This window comes from Homo sapiens, chromosome 10 (assembly GCF_000001405.40).
Source record: "Homo sapiens chromosome 10, GRCh38.p14 Primary Assembly".
Taxonomy (NCBI): domain Eukaryota; kingdom Metazoa; phylum Chordata; class Mammalia; order Primates; family Hominidae; genus Homo; species Homo sapiens.
The window spans coordinates 113621142-113642390 of NC_000010.11; the positions used below are offsets into that span (position 1 = coordinate 113621142).

The 21249-nt window shown below is 42.9% G+C and overlaps 1 protein-coding gene across 11 annotated transcripts in view; it reads right to left on the reverse strand.

Annotated features, from left to right (window-relative positions):
• Nucleotides 1-21249, reverse strand: part of NRAP (nebulin related anchoring protein) — a 75328-nt gene that overhangs the window by 32428 nt on the left and 21651 nt on the right. For 9 of the 11 annotated variants that reach the window (NM_006175.5, XM_047425253.1, XM_024448029.2 and 6 more), the window contains 12 exons: nt 20224-20331; nt 19086-19190; nt 12971-13069; nt 11943-12047; nt 10716-10823; nt 10368-10469; nt 8447-8644; nt 7776-7880; nt 4906-5004; nt 3685-3789; nt 2388-2495; nt 728-1039 (listed from right to left, as the gene is read on the reverse strand). In NM_006175.5, the coding sequence (NP_006166.3) occupies nt 728-1039; nt 2388-2495; nt 3685-3789; nt 4906-5004; nt 7776-7880; nt 8447-8644; nt 10368-10469; nt 10716-10823; nt 11943-12047; nt 12971-13069; nt 19086-19190; nt 20224-20331 (1554 nt within the window). The remainder of the gene's footprint in view (nt 1-727; nt 1040-2387; nt 2496-3684; nt 3790-4905; nt 5005-7775; nt 7881-8446; nt 8645-10367; nt 10470-10715; nt 10824-11942; nt 12048-12970; nt 13070-19085; nt 19191-20223; nt 20332-21249) is intronic. The other 2 variants (NM_001322945.2, XM_005269865.3) reach the window with 1 other exon arrangement.

Here is a 21249-nt window from a genome sequence, read left to right on the forward strand (position 1 = left end):
CAGTGCTGATTCCTTCCTAGCCACCTCAGTGGGGGGGCAGGGTGTATTTCTTCTCATTTCTTTAGTTGCCATTGAATGAGTAGTTTTAATGGAAAGTCATTTAAATGGACACTTCTCTAAAACTAGTATATCACCATCTATCATGAAACAGCTCTACCAGGAAGGGTGTGTCTACACACACACACACACACACACACACAACCTTCCTGTGTGACAGTCTGGCTGCAGCTGACCTGCCTTTTCAGTTCACCCCCATTCTTGTGCAAGAGTTACCTGAAGACAGAAAGTAGAACTGGGAGGGGAGGATAAGGAGGACAGGGAAAGGGTTATTGAAAATTAGCAACCCACCCATTCCAAAAATGGGGACTATCAAAGTCGGGGTGAGTTATCAGCGATGCTCTCCCCTAGCAGGCCACCACTAGGAATGACACAAAGATACCTCCCCCCTGGCAATAAAAAGAAACCTGGAAAACATATGTAGTCCAGAATTCCAAGAAGGAAAAAGTAACTCTATGATTTCTTCTGTGTGTTAGTACAGAACCTAAAATCGGTCTAGTTTGAATAAAAGTTAAACCACTAGCAAAGTAAAGTGTTGCCACTTAGGGATCCAGAAACAGGTGTCCCATAGCATAAATTGTTGCACTGAATGGCTTAGGGAAACACTTGCACTAGCACACACACAACACACACATACACACACAAGTGCACACACTCACACAGAGCTTACATCACTCTGTAAGCCATAAGCCTTCTTGGCCCATTCCACCTTCATGTCTGTGGGCAAAGCCGTAAAGTGATGTTCCGCTGTCTTGTAGCCTACGTCTGTGGCTAAATGCTGAGCTTTGCGGGCATGCACGAGGTGGACCATGTCCAGGGAGACGTGGCATTGGGATTTGGTGTCCTCGAATCCCTTCTTGTACTCCAGCTCACTCTGCAGCTTGGACATTTGCAGTGAGTGGCTCATTTGCGAATCTCCCTGTACATCTTTTGCCCCAATGAGCTTCCCTCTGGATCTCTCATAATCCTCCTTGTACTTCACCTAAATAAGAGGAATAGAGCAGGGATACATTAGAACCTCCTAAAGGAATTGTTAGGCTTCAGACTCCATGCATGGGAGCTGAAACAAAGCCATTGGACAGAATCCTATTAGAATTAGAATCATATGAAAGTTTGCCTTTTTGAGCATCCGATACATTTTCTTTCATCAGTGAAAGAAAATAGTATTACCTATTATTTCCCTTTTCACCTCAGCTGCCAGAAAACTCAGGGTTATAAATAAAAGTAGCCGTGAAATGAGAAGCATACAGAATAGCCAAAGTACAATTGCTGCTCATGAAAGGAACTGAAATTAAAAGATAACTGGAGTACATACATATTTGGGGGAGTATGAGGGGCAAAAAGGAGCACATTGTTTGAAAAATAACACTAGGTCGAGAGTAACAAGGACCAGAAGCAAGAATAAATATGAAAAAGCTGTGAAAACTGTCAGAAGGCACCAGTGTGGGGCATGATTTTCAACATTATCATTGCTCTGGCCAGTGGTAGATTCCGGTTCTACTCTCAGCTCTGACAACAACAACAGTATCAATATCTGCCACCACTTATCGAACACTTGGTATAAACCAAGCACAGGACAAGCCTGTGTAACTCAAGTGCATCCACAGACCAGTGCCGATTTGTAAAATGTTACCAACTAAGAACAAGATAAAGAGCTTATGTCAGAATGTAAACCAACCACATCACCAAGCCAGTTGTTTTTGGTTCACCTGATCTTTTTTTGAAGCAAGACTTTCTCGATAAAGGAAGCAGAGTTTGACATACATCCTTGCTCAAGCTTCTTCTCTCACATCCAACTCCTAACAGATTGCATTAGGCTGTACAACACTTCATGTACGTCAGTTCATTCCATTTCGTTGTCATTATTTTGCAATTACCAATTTACCAGCAAGTTAACTGAGATTTTTAAAGTTTAAACAATCTGCCTGAAGTAACAATGCTAATGGATGATAGAGGTGGGATTTTATACAAGGTCTATCTAACACCAGAGCCTGTATTAACCATTAACAGACCACAACGTCTTTAGAAAGTCATGGAATGTCTCTGGGCATCAATTTATCTGTAAAGCGAGAAATTTGGATTCTTACTCTTGCTACTACTACAAATAATAAGTCATCACTTACTGAAAATCAGTGTGTGGCAAGCAGTTATTAAATAGATAGGCACAGATGTGATTATCTCATTGCAAGGTGATTGCTATCATCTCCATTTTACAGATAAGAATCCTGAGATTCAGAGAGATTAAGAACCTGCCCAGACACTCAGAGAATCTCCCCGGTATAAAAAGGCAGGATTCTGCGGTCTCTTGTACAAGGTGGGGACAGACTCACCTCGCTAGCCAGGTCCCTCTTGGCTTTGGCTGCCAGGAAGGTCAAGGAATCAAGACGCAGCTCAAACCCTTTTGCTTTCTGGTTTTCCCAGCTGCTCTTATACAGTTTCTAAGGGGATTTAGGAGAGAAGGTGAGTGGGTTTTCATGTGAGAGGGTTCTCACGTGAGAGCATTTCTCTAGATTCTAATGACGATTCTAGGAAAGCAATACTGATTATTACGTCCTTCTCTGAGAGCCACAGAAATCATGTAGTCTGAATACAGCCAGGCCTTCTTCCTGCCTTAAGGCCTTTTAACACATAGGGCTTCAATCAAAAAAAGCAGAAATTAAACTCCAGAAGCCTTAACAAATACTAGGAGTTTTCGTGGAAGTCTCAAAAACATGCCAAAGGCAGGATAACATCGCACAACACAGCGACATTTCTGAAAAGTCTATTCTCCATCTCTGTCCACGCACCCCACCCTGCCAGCAGCGGCTCCAGCTGCACCTCTTTCTCTTTCCTCCCGCCTTCCCCCAGCCTCTCTAGTCCACCTGGGTCTTTTCCTTGCGCCTCCTGTTCTCTCTCCTGCTCCTATCTCCAAATGTCGAGATCTTTCTTCTGGAAGCCTCCTTTCCCTTTCTGCATGTGAATCAATTTAACCTCTGTTTCTCCTCCCAATTCTCCTCCCCATCTATTTCTCAGATGAGGAACCCAAAGACCTGGGAGCTAAGCAGGGAGAGCCAAGAAAACACTTTCCCCAGAAGATACAGAGAAGGGGAAGTTGGAACTATGGATGCTTTCATGACTAACAGCTACCACTGTGCACTTGCCTCTGAGTGCTTGATGTATAGAGACTCACTGAAACCTCATGACAACCCAGTAAGGACGGGACTAATATTGGTATCATTTTACCAATGGGACACCTGGAAACAAAGAATTTGCCCAAGGTCACACACCTAGTAAGTGGCAACCGAGGATCAAACCCAGACCATTTGGAGCAAATGTCTGAGCTCTTACTCCCCTCTAACACGATTATGCTGTTTCAACTCTGGCACCTAGAATAACCCCTACCTCCAACCCCAGGATACAATCAGCAGCTCAAGTCCTCCACTAGCTCATTCCTATGAAAGCTGTCCTCCTCTCCCCCTAAAACACTGATCAGGAGCCAGATCTGCTGGGTGAGCTGTTTTTACAACAACCAGATGTATGTAACCTCAGTTGATACAGACACTATGCCATGGCTGGTGGGCTTGGTTTACCAGGTGGCTATACACAAAGGGGAGCAGAGTTCTTGCTGCCCACTCATTCTCTCTGTACCTCGCTGAGATTTGCAGCATTGGCTCGGGCCTGCAGGAAGAGAGGCTCGTCTTTGCTGATGGTATACTGATGGACAGACTGCTCATTTCCTGCCTTGTAGGCCACCTGTTGGGAAAGAGCACTGAGTCAGGAGCAGGTGGCAAGGGCGAGGTGGGCAGGGTGGCATCCCTCATGGTGTCTCTGTCTGGTTGGCACTTCTCTGACTTGCACAGAAAGTCCATTACAAAACCCACCAGATCAGACTCTGAGTGGCAGGATACAGTCAAGGAGATGATGAGAGAAGGAGAAGCAGTGGGGAGGAGCTGGGAGAAAAATGCAGCAGGGAGCCAACCTGAAAACCCCTCCAAGATTTCTCTTTTCACACCTTTCCTTTGGGATGGTATCAACCTCTGCAAGCTGTTGCTATTTACACTGTCTGTGGCCAAAAAAATACCCCACCAGGGGGTTCAGATTAGTACAGACTCCCCAGGTGGGAAAAATAAGAAGCATGCTCTGCCTCCTGCCCCTCCATAATCAACCTTAATCCATTCATGGGTACTGACACCAGGAAGTGAGCATGCGTGGACATCTCCTCCATGGCAAACTTATCACTCTTCTCTTTCTCTCTTTGCTTCCTCTCCACCCCCAACTTGAGTTTCCTGACAGTGGCTTTCTGCTGACTCTGAGTTATGTTGATAGTATCCTTTCTGGCAGGTATATCTTACCTGGACCTTTAGGAAGGAAAGCTAGGAAAGTCCTGGACAGATTGCAGCAACTATGGTCCTCCTTGGTGTAGAGAACTAATCTGTAAATAATGTGTGTGGTGCTTCTTTGTTCTGGCCCCATAAATACGCTTATGTGGGTGTGACCTGCACACACCCCAAACGCAAATGTTTTCTTCCCCCAAGATAATTCTCTCCTGGCTCCAGAATTAGAGTCTTTGATGAGAGATAGGAGTCAGAAGAAAAAAGGAACTAGAGAATATGGAAGCTGAAAAGGAATAAAGTCAGCCCTGCATCTATCCCTAATAAAATCGGGGGAGATGGTGGTGGATGAAGCAAGGGGCCTGGTGTCCAGTTCCAGAAACAGCCTGGAAGCCTGGGGAAAGCTGGGTCCAGCCTATTTAGAGGGAAGGCTCTTTGGTTTCTGGATTGTGCCTGGGCGGCACCTGCTGTTGTCCCTGGAGGTCCCCCAGGCCCATGACACAGCAGCTTGGTGGAGAAAGGGCAGCCCAGGACTCACCCCGCTCTGTAGCTCCTGGCTCTTCTTGGCGTGCTCCATCTGGGAGCTGTCGGTCACGCTGGTGAACTTCAGCTCATCGACCCTCTGCCGGTAGTTTTTCTGTTTCCAAAGGAAAGGGACCCCACAGCATTAGGATTGGGTTGCCCCTACCACCCTACTCATGTGCCCCCACACACACACACATTCTTTCTGTGGTCCAAGCATTTCCTTGGGAGGAATGTTCTAGTTGTTCCTGCAGCTTGAACAGAACCACACAGCCCTGAGACAGCCTGTTCCAGTGAACTTGATTTAGTTGCTATTACTGAATGGGAAATGTAATTTTCTTCCTCAGTAACCCTGTATTTCACCGTGTGCCCTGGGGAGGTATACATTTTATAAATATAGACCTGACATAGGAAGGTGAGGTGGAGGAAACTTGGACTTTACAATGATGAAGACTGAGGTTCAAATCTTGCCTGTACATCCTTCCAGCTTCATTACCTCCGGCACATCACTCAATCCAACCTGAGCCACCCTTGCTTGGAGTGTACAATGGGGACAACAGTAGAAGCTACTTCAGTCTAGTGGGGAGCAGAGGCTTCATCACCATGTTTTACCTGTGAGTCAGGTCCCTGGGACAGTGTTAGGACATAGCCATTGTCATGGTGTTATCACAATTGTCCAGAAAGCAGCAGATTTAAGGAAGGAGACACAGAGCCACAGACAGAAGCCTGCGGTCAGGTGAGATTCGCCTTCACAGTTTCTGATTTTCCAGATCACTGAGGTCTTGTCCTCCTAGTGTCCCCATCTCACAGCCACAAATTAATTGGCAAATTTTCAATGTGCTAATTCTGTCCCCCCTCCGGGACTTCTTGTCTTTCCTGAAGATTAGCTCCTCTGGCTTTTCCATTGAAACTGCCAAAGCTGCTGGGAAAGATGGCCACTGAAAACGGCGTGTGGAAGCAAAAGCTTCACATGGCAGGGAGATCAGAGATGAGCTCACAGCCTGGTTCTGGCAAAACTCCCCATGCCATCAGCAAGAGGGTTATAGCAACCAACTGAACCCAACACAGTGATTGGAACACTGGAAACTCCAAATTTTCTGCCTTTAGGGGAAAAAAGTTCTAGAGAAAACATTCCAAACAGTCTTCTAATTTTCCTCCCTAGTTCCACTGTGTTGAATGGGAAAACTCCTTCACCACATAACTGAAGGGAGTCACATTACCCCGCCATTGTTGGAAATTCCTAGTTAACCCAGACTATGCATTGGTCAAATCACAAGTACTTGCTGAGCAGCCAAGAAACTACTCCGTACAGAGCACAGAAGGAACATAAAAAAGGTGAAGGAAGTAATATCCTCCTGGCCTTGGAGGAGCTTAAAAATTAGTAGGTAATACAGGAAATGAGATAGAAACTGACATTCCTGAATCTCAAGGACCAACTGGCTGCATTCTCTCCCCTCTGCTACACCCCTGTCCAAGACAGACGGGGCTCTGATTGCTCCACCTGGACTTTAGTTGGTCTCCAAGAAGCTAGATAATGAAAGCCCTAAAGGGTTATGCTTTTCTCTCCACCTCATTCTATATTCTAATCCTAAATATGTCTCTGTCTCAGAGGAGGGTGAGTACAGTGGAAATATAAGAGTAAATTACAAGATAAGCTTTTGAGATACAATACTGTCTCATGGTCAAGAGCTGGGGCACCAGATCAAACACACTGGGTACAGATCCCAGCTCTTCTACTTACTTAAAGTGTAACTTAAATCTCACTTTCTTTATCTGTAAAATGGGAATATTAATAGGCTAATCATACCATCTAATCACAGAAGACTGTGGCAACCTATACATGACAGTATGTATATAATACGCCCAAAGTGATGATTCAATAATGATTATCAGCCCTTAAATGGCAGCTATTATTATCACCATTATTATAATTTGCAAGAGATATGCCGACTCAGCCTTCTTGGCCCTGAAACAAGAATCCTCTTGGAAGATTCCAAACAAAGTTCCTGAAATAGTGACACTTCCAAACGAAATGTCCTTCAAACGTCCTCCTCTGCCTGCTGCCAGAGCCAGCTTTCTATGGTGTAAAGAGAGGCAAAGGCTTAGAGCTGCAGGGACCTGGGAGAGTATCTGATCCAACCTCTTCATTTTTATTTTATTTTATTTATTCTTTCTGAGACAGAGTATCGATCTGTCGCCCAGGCTGGAGAGCAGTGGCACGATCTCGGTTCACTGCAACCTCTGCCTCCCAGGTTCAAGCAATTCTCCTGCCTCAGCCTCCTGAGTAGCTGGGATTACAGGCACGTGCCACCACACCTGGCTGATTTTTTTGTGCTTTTAGTAGAGACGGGGTTTCACCGTGTTAGCCAGGATGGTCTCGATCTCCTGACCTCGTGATCTGCCCACCTAGGCCTCCTAAAGTAGTGGGATTACAGGCCAACCTCTTCATTTTTATACGAGGGAAAGAGGATCAGGAAGGTTAAGTGACTTTTCTGAAATCTGCAGTGAATTTAAGGCACAGGCATAATGAAAACAGTATCCTCCAAATACTGGACTTTCTGATTCAAAAGGAATCACAAGCTGCTCACCTAAGAAGTGCTGTTTTCCCAGGTGCTGTATATTACACCTTTCTAAACCAAATTATTCTTTGGATGTAACTGCTACTTAAAGTAAATCAGTAGGCTTCTTTAATGACACCATCTCAGTAAGTTTAAGGGTGTGGAAAGTTAGCTGAGAATGTGCTACAGGTGTGAAATGAAGTACTCCCACTTTGAATCACAGCCAAAATAAATCTGAGGATAGAGAAAGGGAATTAGAGGCAAAGATCACCCTGCATGTGTCAGGGGCTGAGGACTACTGGAGGCCAGAGGCCCCAGTGCAGGTTACCTCGCTGACCAGCTGTCCAGCCTTCTTGGCTTGTTCCAAGTTGAGACTCCCCTCTGTCAGCCACCCAACTCCCTTCATCCATGCCAGGTCAGCCTTGTACTGCAGCTACAAAAGAAAAACCACAAAGCTCTCATTGGGCGCATGGATAGAGACAGGACAAAGTTGATGGGAGAGTTAAGAAGATCTTGATCCTGCATTTGCCTTCCTAGAAGAACTGCTCCCTGCTCCTTTATGGTCAGGCAGATCTCCACTTGGGAGGTACAGCCACCGGGCCCACCTTGTAACAAGAGTAGCATGCTCTACCTTACTGCTGAGACACCGCAACCTTAGCAAAAAGAGTGTTTCTCATATTTGTTGACCAAGGGCCTTTTTTTTGCCAACCTGCTAAATTTCCAAGATTTATTTACCATTTTAAACATTTTCTTCTCCTTGGCTCATCCCCATCACCAACACATCTTGACTTTAGCATTAGCTGTGAGCCCTCCAGTCTCCATTGTGTCAACTATATCTCTACCTCCCCATCTGCCCTTTCTGGCCCCCTGGTACATTTCCTGCAGTTCTTCCTAGTCTTCCAAGTTATGTAATAGACTCGTGCACAGGTTTGAAATCACTCTGAAAGCATGTCCAACTGCAAGAGATGCATGAAGAGAACTGATAATGTGTGGGCTCACCTCGCTCTGGAGCCCATAGGCCTTCTTGGCCCACTGAGTCTTCATATCTTCAGGCAGCACAGTGTATTCATGCAGTTTCTTCCTGTAGTCCAGGTCACTGGCGAGAGTTTGGGCCTTCTTAGCATGCCTGATGTTTACCATATCCATGGGCAGGTGAAACCGGGTCTTACTCTCTTCAAAGCCTTTCTTATATTCAACCTTGAATATACCAAAACAAGGCCCGTTTTGTTAGTTGAAGCCCACCCTTTGCAGGAGTGATGTGAAAATGCAGGAAAGATTTCCGGGCTTTCGGGAGCAGGAGAATCGGCACTCTGGGCACTGCCACCCTTCTGTCAGAAAGGCCCAAGTCCTGGCTCTGAAAGGCAGCATCATGAGGGAGCTGAGGTTCCATACTACTTTGTTTCTGGGAGGACTGTCTCTTGCCAATGCTAAACCTTTTCACCCGGCTGCTCCAGGAGAAAACTCTATTCCCAATTCTCATAGATGCTTTAAGAGATAGAATAAAGAAGCTTGGGCTGCAGAGCCAGACAAGCCTGAGTTCAAACCTGATCTGCCCTCTAACAGCAGGGTGACCTCTGGAAAGTTATGTCACCTCTCTAAGGACTTGTTTCCCTCTGGGAGACTGTTGTGATAAGTAAATGAATAATAGCTGAAACATGCTTAGTACAGGGACTGTCACATAGCAAATACTTGATAAATATTCGCATGACAATAACAATGGTGGTTCGGTGGTGATGATGATGATAGTGATAGTGGTGGTGGTGATGGTAGTGATGATGGTGATGATGGCAGCAATGATGGTGATTGATGATGGTGATGACAATGGTGATGGTAATTATGGTGTGGTGGCAATGACCATGGTGATGGTGAAGGTGATGGTGATAGTGGTGACGATGGTAGTGCTGATGGGAGAAGATAGTATGCTATAGTAGAAGGAGTGTGGTGCCAGGTAATAAGAGTTCTAGGCTCTAATTTGCTACCCCTCTACCACTACTGCTGACTACCACATGGCTTTGGGAAAGACACAGTCTTTTTGACCCCCAGCTGCTCCAACTGCAAATATGAAACACCAATGTGTTCTGTCTAAACTGAAGCCAAATTCTCAATGCCTCTTTATGCCTTATGACTATGCACTTCATTCGGCTTGTTCTGTAGACACATCCAAAATGGCGACCCAGATGCCAACCCTCTTTTGTATTCAAGCTATGGCTATTTAATGACTCATTGGATAATTACATCCAACTGTACCATCAGAGCAGCATAAGTTGGCCTCACAGCTTGGAGCAGGCAATCTTTTGTGTCTTTTTCCCTATTCAGCATCAGCAGGGAAGACTTGATTAGAAACTGGGTCTGTCTCTTCTAGCAGAACTCTCCTTTCCCAAAGCCTCTTGGTAAATGACATTTACCAAGGTTCCTCTCCAGCTATTACAGTTGTTTACAAGCATCGTCATTCCGATTGGCTGGAGCCTGGGAGGCCCCAGCTTGCTAAATATTTGAATACCATAAGTGTTGTAACCACAGGACCAGGACAGCACCACAATAAGCAGGACGCTTTTGGTCCATGAGGGAGAAACTTATTATGCGCTGTTCATTCTTATAGCCCCAGGGTCTCGACCAGTGTCTTGCCCATAGTAGTCACTTGGCAAACATTTGTGACATGAATAAATGCAATTGAACACCTTTGTACCTTGATCAGCAGATGCTGTCACCCTTAGGGCCACACTCCTTATCTATTTAAAAAAAAATAGTATGCTTTGGCAAAACAAATAAACCAAACAAACTTCTTATGCAAGCCAGGAAAGAAAGGAGTTGCAGGTAGAAGTCAATAAAAAGGTTACAGTCCCAGGTGAAGTAGGCCCAGGGAAAACTTTTAAAATAACACAACTGTAAGTGAGAGGTTGGGGGTTAGAAAAGAGTTTACCTCACTGCTCATCTTAGCAATCTGCAGGGAGTGCAGAAGCCTAGAGTCGGCTGTTCCCATGGCTTTGCCTTTTGTCTTTTCATATTCTTCTTTATATTTAATCTTGAGAGAAAGAAGAAGGTCTACTGTGAGTGAGAGAGAAACTTTGCCGTCTAAGGGGCTCTGGTTTTAACAAGTGCAAGGGGAACAATTCTGAAAAAACACCTCCCAGTCTTTCACAAATCCAGAAGAAGATTAAAGTATTGCGATGTTTACAATGTTAAGAGTCATTATTTTTTTCAGCAGGACCACTGACATTTTATTGGAACCATTTCTTATGCATTCCTGAGTTAATGAGAGGAAACGTACATTGCTAGCAAGCTCCCCAGAGGCTTTGGCGGCCAGCAGAGACATGGCATCCAGCTTCATCTCAAATCCTTTCCCCTTTGTCTTCTCCCAGCCTTCTTTATACTTAACCTGACAAACAAAACCACAAGTGAATAGGAGTTGCTACCCATATTCCTGCCAAACGTCAAAGATTTTTTCAAAGCAAAGTTGGATTTTTCCTCTATTTACAGACCAGAGGCTCGGCTGTTGTTATCAAAATGATAACAGTAATTATTAACACAGTTAATTGATTCCTTCGCTGTAGAGCTGTGCAGGCCAGTGGTAATGGAATAGGACAAAGAGAAGCCCCATGTGTTGCTCCTTGCTCTGTTGTTTTCTGATCATGTGACCTTGGCCAATAACCTCTTGGGGCCTCAATCTCCTATTTGCAAAGAGTGTATCATATTCTCTTTCTCAGGATTGCTGTGAGAATAAATTGGATAGAATATATGTAAAGAGATCTTAAACTGGTGAAGCATAACATAAGTGTGGGGTATTGACATTGCCCTGGCAATAACTACTGTTTATTGGCCTTTTCCTAAATGATTTCTACTCATTAACCACAAATCTTCACATTAGGCCTGTGAGGCTCAGAGAAATTAAAGAGCTCACCTACGGTTACATAAATTTAAAAAATGGCAATGCCAGCTTCTGAACCTAGGTCTCTCTGACACCAAAGCCCATGCCACCAACTGTGTCCCTACAATACCTTCTAGGACTTATGATAATTCCACATACACAGTGCCTGCCTCAGGATAGAACAGGCATTTAAACAATGTTAGTTCCTTTCATTTTCTTCTCCTGCCCCCAAAATTCCATCTAGAGTTAGAAGCCAATTCATAGCCCACTTGTGACTCCAGGGAGAATCTGATGATGCAGATTGATCTTCTTAAAACTTAAATTTCCTCCACACAGCAAATCACCAGTTCACTAGGGTGATGAGGATGAGCATGTAGGGGGGTGTGTGTGTGTGTTCACACATAGATTGTACACATGCTCATATAATGGGAATAAATGGCTATGACCAATTTATCACTAGTAAACTACAACGTGCCATGACATAGCAAAATTCAAAGTTACAACTTGATGGATGCCTCTGATGAGCCTTTCTCAGGGACAGACACTTCCCACTTGCTGGACCATCCTGTTATCTTTGTTTTCACATCGCTCTATAACCCCCTCCACCGTCTCCCCACATTGCTCTCTTACCTCACTGAAGAGTTTGGCATTGGTTTTGGCCTTCACCAGCTGAGGAACATCCTGGGGCAATGTGTAATTCAACTTATTTTTCTCATAGTCAGCACGGTAATTCACCTGTTGGATTTAAAATAAATCTGTAGGGTTTTTATATGGGCAGAAAGAGAACTTTAGGGACCCATAGCTCTTTCCCCCTTAGACCCATAGTTGAGAAGGAGTTTCCAGAAAAGGCATTTTACAAGGCAGCCTGTACTTTTTGTGAATGTTTTAAATTAATGAACTGAAGGTGTCAAATGAAAACTAAAGAAACTCAAAGGCACACTTGAAGTTGTGAGTTTGCAAAAGAATTCCCTGTGACTGCTTCACCAACTCCCCTTACACGCACTTGAGAATATTGAACTTTTTAAAAAACATTTGCTGCAGTGCTGAATATCTTGTTATAGGCAGGGTAATTATCAAATGCCTGCCCACAATGACAAAAATCCATCTTAAATCACACACACAAAAGACAGCCAACCAGATATGTGACTCCTGTTGGATGAATACGGCATCATCCGAGAAGCAGTCTTGACCAGAAATTAAACTTGAACTTTGGATGATTGGTGAAACTAAGAATTATTGTTAGATTTTTGATGTGATATGTTAAAATTATATAAACATGTTTTTTCTTTTTTACCTTTTAGAGATTCATACTGAAATATTTACAGATTACATTATACAATACTTGAAATTGGCTTCAAAATAATATGGAAGAGGAGAATTGGACAGGCATATAGATGAAGCAGGGTGGCCATGAGTTGATGGCTGTTGAAGATGGGTGACAGGTACATGGGGATTCATTATGCTATACTCTCTACTTTTGCATGTATTCAAAATTTTCCATAATAAAAAGTTTAAAAGAAGTGGGGGTCATTTTCTGGCTGTAATAAGACATGTGTCACAATTTATGAAAGTCAAATCCTTGGAGGTCAGATGTCCAGAGGCCTCAAAGCAGCAATTTCAAGACCCCTACATCCAGCTGGGCAGGGACAGTTACTTACATGACTCAGCTGCTGGGCATTGATTTTGGCTTGAACAATCTGTGGGGTGTCAGTCACCGAGCTGTACTTCAACTTGTCGATGCTCTGCCTATAATTGGCCTAGGTAAAAACAGGCACAAAAAGATGTCATTTGCTCTTTTCTCAAAGATTTGCTTAGCTCCCTCTCCCAAGCCCAATAAAGTGGCAATTCTCAAATGGCTACGTAGAAAAAGAGTCCAATATTCCAACTGGATACTGACAGACACTCCAAGCCCATAGATAGAAAAACAGTACATTGGAGAGTGAGACATCTAACAGGCAACTCATAAAAGAGGTGAATTAACTGGCCAGTGAACATACAGAAAGATGCTCAGCCACACTATTAATGAGAGAAAGGCATACCAAAACCACAAGATACCCCTGCACACCACCTGAAGAGCCGAAGTTAAAACTGCTGGTAACACAAAGTGTTGGCAAAGGATGAGGACTTATGAAAACTCTCACAACGGTGCTAGCAGAAGTGCAGATTGGTACAACCACTTTGGAAAACAGTACGGCATTTGGGCACATACACATATCCTGTGTCCCAACAATTCTGTGCCTAGGGCTCATTCCCAATGAAAATATATGCCTGAGGTCATTTTATAAATAATTAAAGCAGTATATCCACACATAGTATACTTTCCTATATACGTCTTATACTTCACCAAAAAAGAGGTGTTAAAAAAAGTAAAATGAAAGAGAAACAAAAAGTCCAACCAAGTTATACATGCATCTTCAAGTGGGAGACAATGGAGCATCAGCGACTCCTTGTAGGTGGCCCTAACATGTCCCCACCCCGTACACCAGCCCCTGCCTGGCCCTCACTTCCACCTTGCCAGAGTCCCCAAGGAAATTGCCCTAAGCTTAGCACTTTCGTAGAAGATGCAGGTTCAAAAGAGGAGGAGGCAGAATCGTCAGTGCAGCTGGATGCATTGACTGCCTGGTTCCCACCTCAAGACATCAAGGACTAGGAATTTTCCCCTTTGAAAATACAAATTGCCCTTTCGAATATTAAGAATTATTAGCCATTTGCACACAAGAATATATGCATCATATGCATCCAATCATCTTATTTTTCTCCAAACACACCTGACCAAGATCCACTGCAGAGGGAATGGGAACTTGGGCAGTGAAGTAAAGGAACAGGTTTGAGGCTGGATAGTAGGCGATAAGGCGTGAGGCACTAAGGTGAGCTGAGTGAAAGCCCCAGAAACCTATGCAGGTAGAAGTAAAGCTAGGATAAAGAAAAGAGGGAGAGGTTGTGGATAGCAGATAACCTCTTTCACAGTTTATTTTGATTTATTTGTTATTTAGAGACAGAGTCTCACTATGTCACCTAGGTGGGAATGCAGTGGCACGATCTCAGCTCACTGCAACCTCCTCCTCCTGGGTTCAGGTGATTCTCGCGCCTCAGCCTCCCTGGTAGCTGGAACTACAGGCGTGCACCACTATGCCTGGCTAATTTTTGTATTTTTAGTAGAGACAGGGTTTCCCCGTGTTGGCCAGGCTGGTCTGGAACCCTTGGCCTCAAGGGATCCTCCCACCTCAGCCTCCTAAAGTGCTGGGATTACAGGCGTGAGCCACCACACCTGGCCCTCTTTTAGAATTTAACCAAGGTTATCTGAAATCCAGGTAAAAGAGGAAGAAGTAAACTCATCTCTAACCCTGCTCTCCTTCCCTTATGCTCACCTGGTTCCTTTCATTCATCCACTTGCCCATCCATTTATTTCTTGAACAAACTGTCGTGGGGTTCCTACTCTGCAGAGTGAGCAAACTCAGACATTCCCTGCCCACATAGATATCTCAGATGGGTCCTCACTCCCAGGATCCCAAATTGACCCAGTGCTTCTGGACATCTGAATCTCTGTGCCCACGGGCTCCAGATTGGGCCTGTTGCCAGCTGAGCTCCCCCGGCTTGGCTCAAAGCGACAGGATCACCACTGAACACCTCATTCACAGACTTCATGTCTCTCTTTTCTTGCCCAAGGCCAAAGGCCCCACCCAGAATCCCACACAGTGTGGCAACTTCTTCAGGCCTGGGTTTTGCCTAAGAACAACACCCCTTTTCTGTGTCACCACTATCTACTGACATCTCTGCCTGGACCTCACCTATGGCCTTGGCCAGCCTCCTCTGGCAGCTGGCTCTGCCCTCCCCAAGGGCCCACACCTTGGCCACTCTTGTACTGTTCTATCATTTCCTGTCTGTCTAGACTACAGCCTGATGTCTTTGCTCTTCTGTCTTCCTCCTATCTGCTGCTAACTCCTATGGCCACCTCCCTGAGATGACAGCCCACCTCAAGGAGTCTTTGCAACCCAAAAGTCACAAATGTCTCTGGGAGCCAGATAGACCACTAGCTGGGTACAAGTCCAATGCTTGGCCTTACTGTTGGGGAAGTAAGGAGTCGAGAGGACTATGGCAAAGAGAGGCAGCTGCTGCCCAGCTCTAGGAGATTGTTGTGATGCAACAAATAGGGCGTACAGAAGCCAGATTTTCCAGTTATTCCAAAGAAACCAGAAATCCATATTATGATGCAAAATCTTGCAATTTTTAAATGCTAACAAATAGCTCAATATTTTAAAAATCCAGTGACCCGGGCCAGGGGCAGTGGCTCATGCCTGTAATCCCAGCACTTTGGGAGGCCGAGGCAGGAGGATCACGAGGTAGGGAGTTCAAGACCAGCCTCACCAACATAGTGAAACCTTGTCTCTACTAAAAATACAAAAATTAGCCGGGCGTGGTGGCTCGCGCCTGTAACCCGAGATACTCGGGAGGCTGAGGCAGGAGAATCGCTTAAATGTGGGAGGTGGAGGATGCAGTGAGCCACGATCATGCCACTGCTCTCCAGCCTGGGTGACAGAGCAAGACTTCATCTCAAAAAAAAAAAAAAAAAAAAAAATCCAGTGACCCAAGAGAAATAGGTCTAATAGCCACTTTGGCCCACTGGCTACTAACTTGTATACTCCATGTCTTCCCTGAGTCTGGGTCTTGTATTCATTTCATTTTTGCCTGTCCTAACACCAGCTCATCATAATTATGACTAACACATGGTACTTACTATGCACCCAGCACCATTCCAAGTACATCATGCATGTAACTCATTTAATCCTTCCCACCACCCTATGGTTAGGCACTATTATTATCCCTACCTTACAATGTGGAAACTGAGGCACAGAGACCGAAAGTGGCTTGCTCCAGGTCATCCAGGCAGTAAGTATCAGAGCTATGATTCAAATCCCAGGAGTCTGCCTCGCAAGGTGGCTCTATACCTATACTCTATAAACCTGGTTTGCCAAAGCTAGTGTGCTTAGAGCGATTATTTGTTATATTACAGATGGGCAAGGGGTTCCCCTTAGCCAGAGTTAGCATTGTTTAGACAGGGAAATGCATTCTAGAAACAAACAAATGACTTACAAGTGAACTTCTAGAACAGGACCTAGAAATAACGAAGTGCTCCTGACAATGGGCCGTGGAGTGTTTTGTTGGATTTGGAGATTAAAAAACATCATTAGGCTGGGTGTGGTGGCTCACGCCTGTAATCCCAGCACTTTGGGAGGCCGAGGCAGGCGGATCACCTGAGGTCAGGAGTTTGAGACCAGCCTGACCAACAGGGAGAAACACCATCTCTACTAAAAATACAAAATTAGGGAGCGTGGTGGCGCATGCCTGTAATCCCAGCTACTCGGGAGGCTGAGGCAGGAGAATTGCTTGAACCCGGGAGGCAGAGGTTGCTATGAGCCGAGATCGCACCATTACACTCCAGCTTGAGCAACAAGAGTGAAACTCTGTCTCAAAAAAAAAAAAAAATCATTTTGTGCTTTTTAGTTAATGATTCAAGGAGAAAAGTTTTTGCATGTTCTGAGTTTTGGACATGGGGTGTGTAGAGAAAATTAGGAAATATAAAGTCATTTCAATGTCAACTATTAATTAGATTAAAGTACAGTGACTTCCTAATGTATTAATTCAGGAGGCAAAATTATTATCTCATAATAGAGTCTATTAGAATTCAGAATTATGCATGATAAAATGTCACAAATACTATATTTTTAAATGGCATATTTCTTCCTGATAATTCTGCATTAAGTATGTTACTGAGCACAATTACTTTACTCTGTGGGACATAATTAAAAGTCTCCATGATTAACCACATCTTTGCAACACCACAAATGCTTGGCCATTGCTTCAGTCTACATTTTGAAGGTTTTTTTTTCTTTTTGCTAAAGATAGAGTCTCATTTTAATTCTATTAGTGTTTATAAAATCTATCTAAAGGGAATGCTCTCAAATTAAGAACCCATGCTTGCTTATTTAATTTCATGGCTATTTCACCACCTTTAAGATTACCAGACAGAGAGACCACAATTGTTCTTGTAAATGGATTCCCCAAACTTCCTGATTATTAAAATCCCTACATTATGGGTGATAAACTCAAATTCACATCAGAACCAGGAAGGTAAGCTAAAGGAGGTACAGCAACAGAGAGCAGTCACCACCCAGTCCCAGCCAATTGCTGCCTTGCAGGAACTAGGGCAGAATGTCTCAGGGTTTTCAAGAAAAGGTGAGCGTATTAGTTTTTGTCTAAAATCAGAACTTCCACATGTTGGTTCAATTAAAACAACAACAACAACAACAAAACCCACTGTGTAGCCAAACAAAGCACTTCCGTAGTGCAAATGTGGCTCATGGGCTGCCAGTGAACCCACCTCTAAACTCAATTAATATTTCTAATTCAGTCTGGTTTAAGTCTGTATCAGACTTCCCCGGGTGGGCTTCCAGGTGCCTGGTTTGACTCAGAGTCTTATCTAGATAAATGTAGTAGCAAGTCATGTCATAATGGAAGTACATCTTGCACTCTTTGTGCTACTTATTAGGCATGATTTATAGAATCCTACTGCAAAAGCACATATTCAAATTTTAATAAGGTGCCTTTGATCTGCAAGTTTCCCAGGTAATGTATATAGCAAAAAAAAAAAAAAAAAAAAAAAAATGTAGCTTTGGTAGTGGTCAAGTTTAACTTTGTGAAATGAGTAAGTCAATCCAACCAAACTTCCTGAGAAAAAGAGAAGCAAAGTTTAGGCCCCTGATCAATTCCTCAGCTTCCTTCCTCCTGTTTTATTACACATTTGGAAAGCCCCTTTCATTCAATAAATATCATTTGCCAATGATTGTCCTCTGATGTCTGGGCACTGGGTTGGACACTGGAGATAACCAACTGAATCCTACTGCCCCAACTCTGAGCAAGAGAGAGAGAGACAGATTCAGAGACTTATCTACCAGTAGCAAAACCTCAATCAATTTCTAAAGTTGTACTGATCCCAAAGGAAAGCAAAGGAAAGTAGCACTTGACTTTCATAAATATACGCTGAATTATTTGTTAAATTATTGATTGATTGGAGATAACCTTCTCTGGCAACCACAATACAACCTTTCTTCTAAGCCACCTTAAGTACTTTTTAAGCTAGTAGGTGACTTTTATCTTTTTCTTTGCACTTTTCCGTATTTTCTAAATTTTCTATAATAAACATGTAGTAAAATTCTTGTAATCAGGAAACAAGAAATTTAATTGATTGCACACATTTTGCTTGGAACAAGCCAAACCATAAATAAAATCGCTGCTGTAATAATTAAGGGATACATATACTTTTCCATGTGCTCCTGAGAAAAAATGGAGTCAATAGTACCACTTCCTCTCAACTTGTATGTAGACATTTTATTTTACTTCCTTCAACTCTTAACATACTACATAACAAACCTTTTTTTAAAGAAAGAAAACAAATCATCCTTGCTAAGGAACAAGCATTTGAAATGTGCCCAGCAGGCAAAGCTCACTGAATTCTAAGAGGAAAAACTGAACCTCAGGTTATTTTCAAGACAAAACTAGAGTTGTCCCTAGTTCACATTGAAAATCTAAGGGTGTGCAAACATGCATAAATGAACTTCCTAGTGGAAAATAGAAAAGGATTTCCCTTTCCTCAATCCCTTCAACCTCTTATGAACTGTTGTATCATGTTTCTTTCCATCTTGCTACCTACAAATCACTCCTCAGGAAGGAAGCGACAAGTGACAAAGCAGAAAGAGCTGTTGGAAAAGAACTTACATCTTTCAAGGGCACCAGTTTCATAGCTGTTTGATAGGAAGGCGTGAGAGTGGCTGGGTAGTTGTAGTCGACAATATCATGTTTATAATCAGCTTTGTAGGCAACCTAAAACAGGAAGAAAAGAAGAAGAATGGAGAAATCAATTTCTACTTTCTTTTGGCTTTGTTTGAATGCCATAAGAAATATTTTTTAAATACCCAGAAACGAATTCAGTTTCATCACCTTCAAGGAAAATTAAATTATGTTCACACTTTTGTCTTTAATGAATCTGAATTCCTCTTAATTAGTCCAAAATTAGTTAACTTCCATCTGTAGCACATTTACTTTATATTTCATATTAATTATGAAGCTGCTTGTCATTTTTGTTGAAAAGAAGCATTTTCACATGGATAGGCAATGGAAGAGCTCCTTGGCTAACCCCAAGAAAATAGATGGAAAGGTGAAGAGTCTTCAGAGTATTTAATTTTTTTTCTAAAGATCAAATTGACATTCTTAAGCAGAGAAAATCCGACATTTGTATGTTTTAATAATGAAATCAGTTTCCTTTAAGTGTCCTTTACCTCCAGGATTTACAATCTGGTATTTGTAAATCTATAAACTGGATTGACGAAGCTAAAGAGAGATTAATAGAGTATATGCTACAGGGGAAAACAAGGACTTGATCTACTCTGTTATCCCACTACCCTGACCAGTGCCAGGCCACAGTAGGTTTTCAATGAATACAATGATCAAAAAAATGAATGAAGGAACAAACCAGCTTACCAACCAACCAACTCTCAATAAATCACAAAAGCTTTGGAACCCTGGGGAATTTGGAATAAGAATCATAATTATTCATTTCTCTTTTTCTCTCAGAAATTGAAAGTGTTAACCACACTGGATTCATTATAATAGACTGAAGTACTCTTCAAATTAGAGAAAGCTAATATAAACAAATTGAAGCCTTTGAAAATTTTCAGGGATCTTACCTAGCCTTGGTTGTATCCGCTAACATTTAGAAACTCTTTTGGGTCAGTCTTTACACAGTCTTTAAAATAGAAGACAGATTTTTTTTTAAGGGGAATTTAAAAAGAATTGGCTGAATTCTTCATGCCCTGCCCCACTCCATCCCAACAGACCCTGGCATAAAAGGACTCACGTTGCTTGCCAGGCTGCCAACTTTCATAGCATGCAGAGTGCGTCTGTCCATACCAACTCCTTCATAGCGGCCTCTCATGTGGTTCTGGTAGTTTTCTTTATATTTATTCTACATGGAAACGCAAAGTTTTCAACCAAAGCATTCCCTTCACAAGTAGTTGAAGATAAACTACTCATCTTAATGCATTAAATCCAAGGCATAAATGATTAAATATAACCCATTTAAATAGTCAACGTATCACAGAATAAAAAATAAGGCAAACTTTTTTTTAATAACGTAAATTTCAACCCATCACAAGAAGTTGGAGTAAGACAGGAAGACAAGGAAACATGGGATCAGATGAGCATAGACAGCACAAAACAGACTTGACTTTCTGTGTTTGTTTTTACATTTTTAGTTTTAAATTTACCAGATTTTTCCAATGTGAAAATTTACCATGAGACAGTGGCAGGCACTGACTATGCGGACGTCACATGCAAAGCCCCATGCTGAGGCTGGTACAAATCACTGCATGCCATTACCTCCATTTCTAAATATATGAAGGACAAAACCTGAGCTTTGCCAAATTCTGTGATGTAAAAGTTGGTCACTAGTGCGACTATGTGAAATAATTATGTTATGTGTCAAATGCCACTTATCAAATAAAGAGAAGACCAAAACAGGATGACAAGAGGTCATAAATAGGAAATTTGGGGTATTAAAATCACCTAACCTGGGAGGCCATTGCATTTCTCGGTACTGCTAGTGTTTAAACAGAATACTACTTATGACTATATATCAGATATGATTCTACTTATCTGAGTTAATCTTCACAAGTACTCTATGAGGGGGAAGGAACTATTATCATCCCCATTTTAGAGTTGGGCAGAGTGGCTCAGGGAGCTTAAACAACTGCCCAAAATTGGCCACTTTGCTATTAATAACTGGGACATAAGGTATGTTGGCTCTTAAGCCACTACATTTATGCAAAATAAATTCCTCACTGTGCCTTACACAGTCCCTTGCAATTTTAAATTCTACTATTAT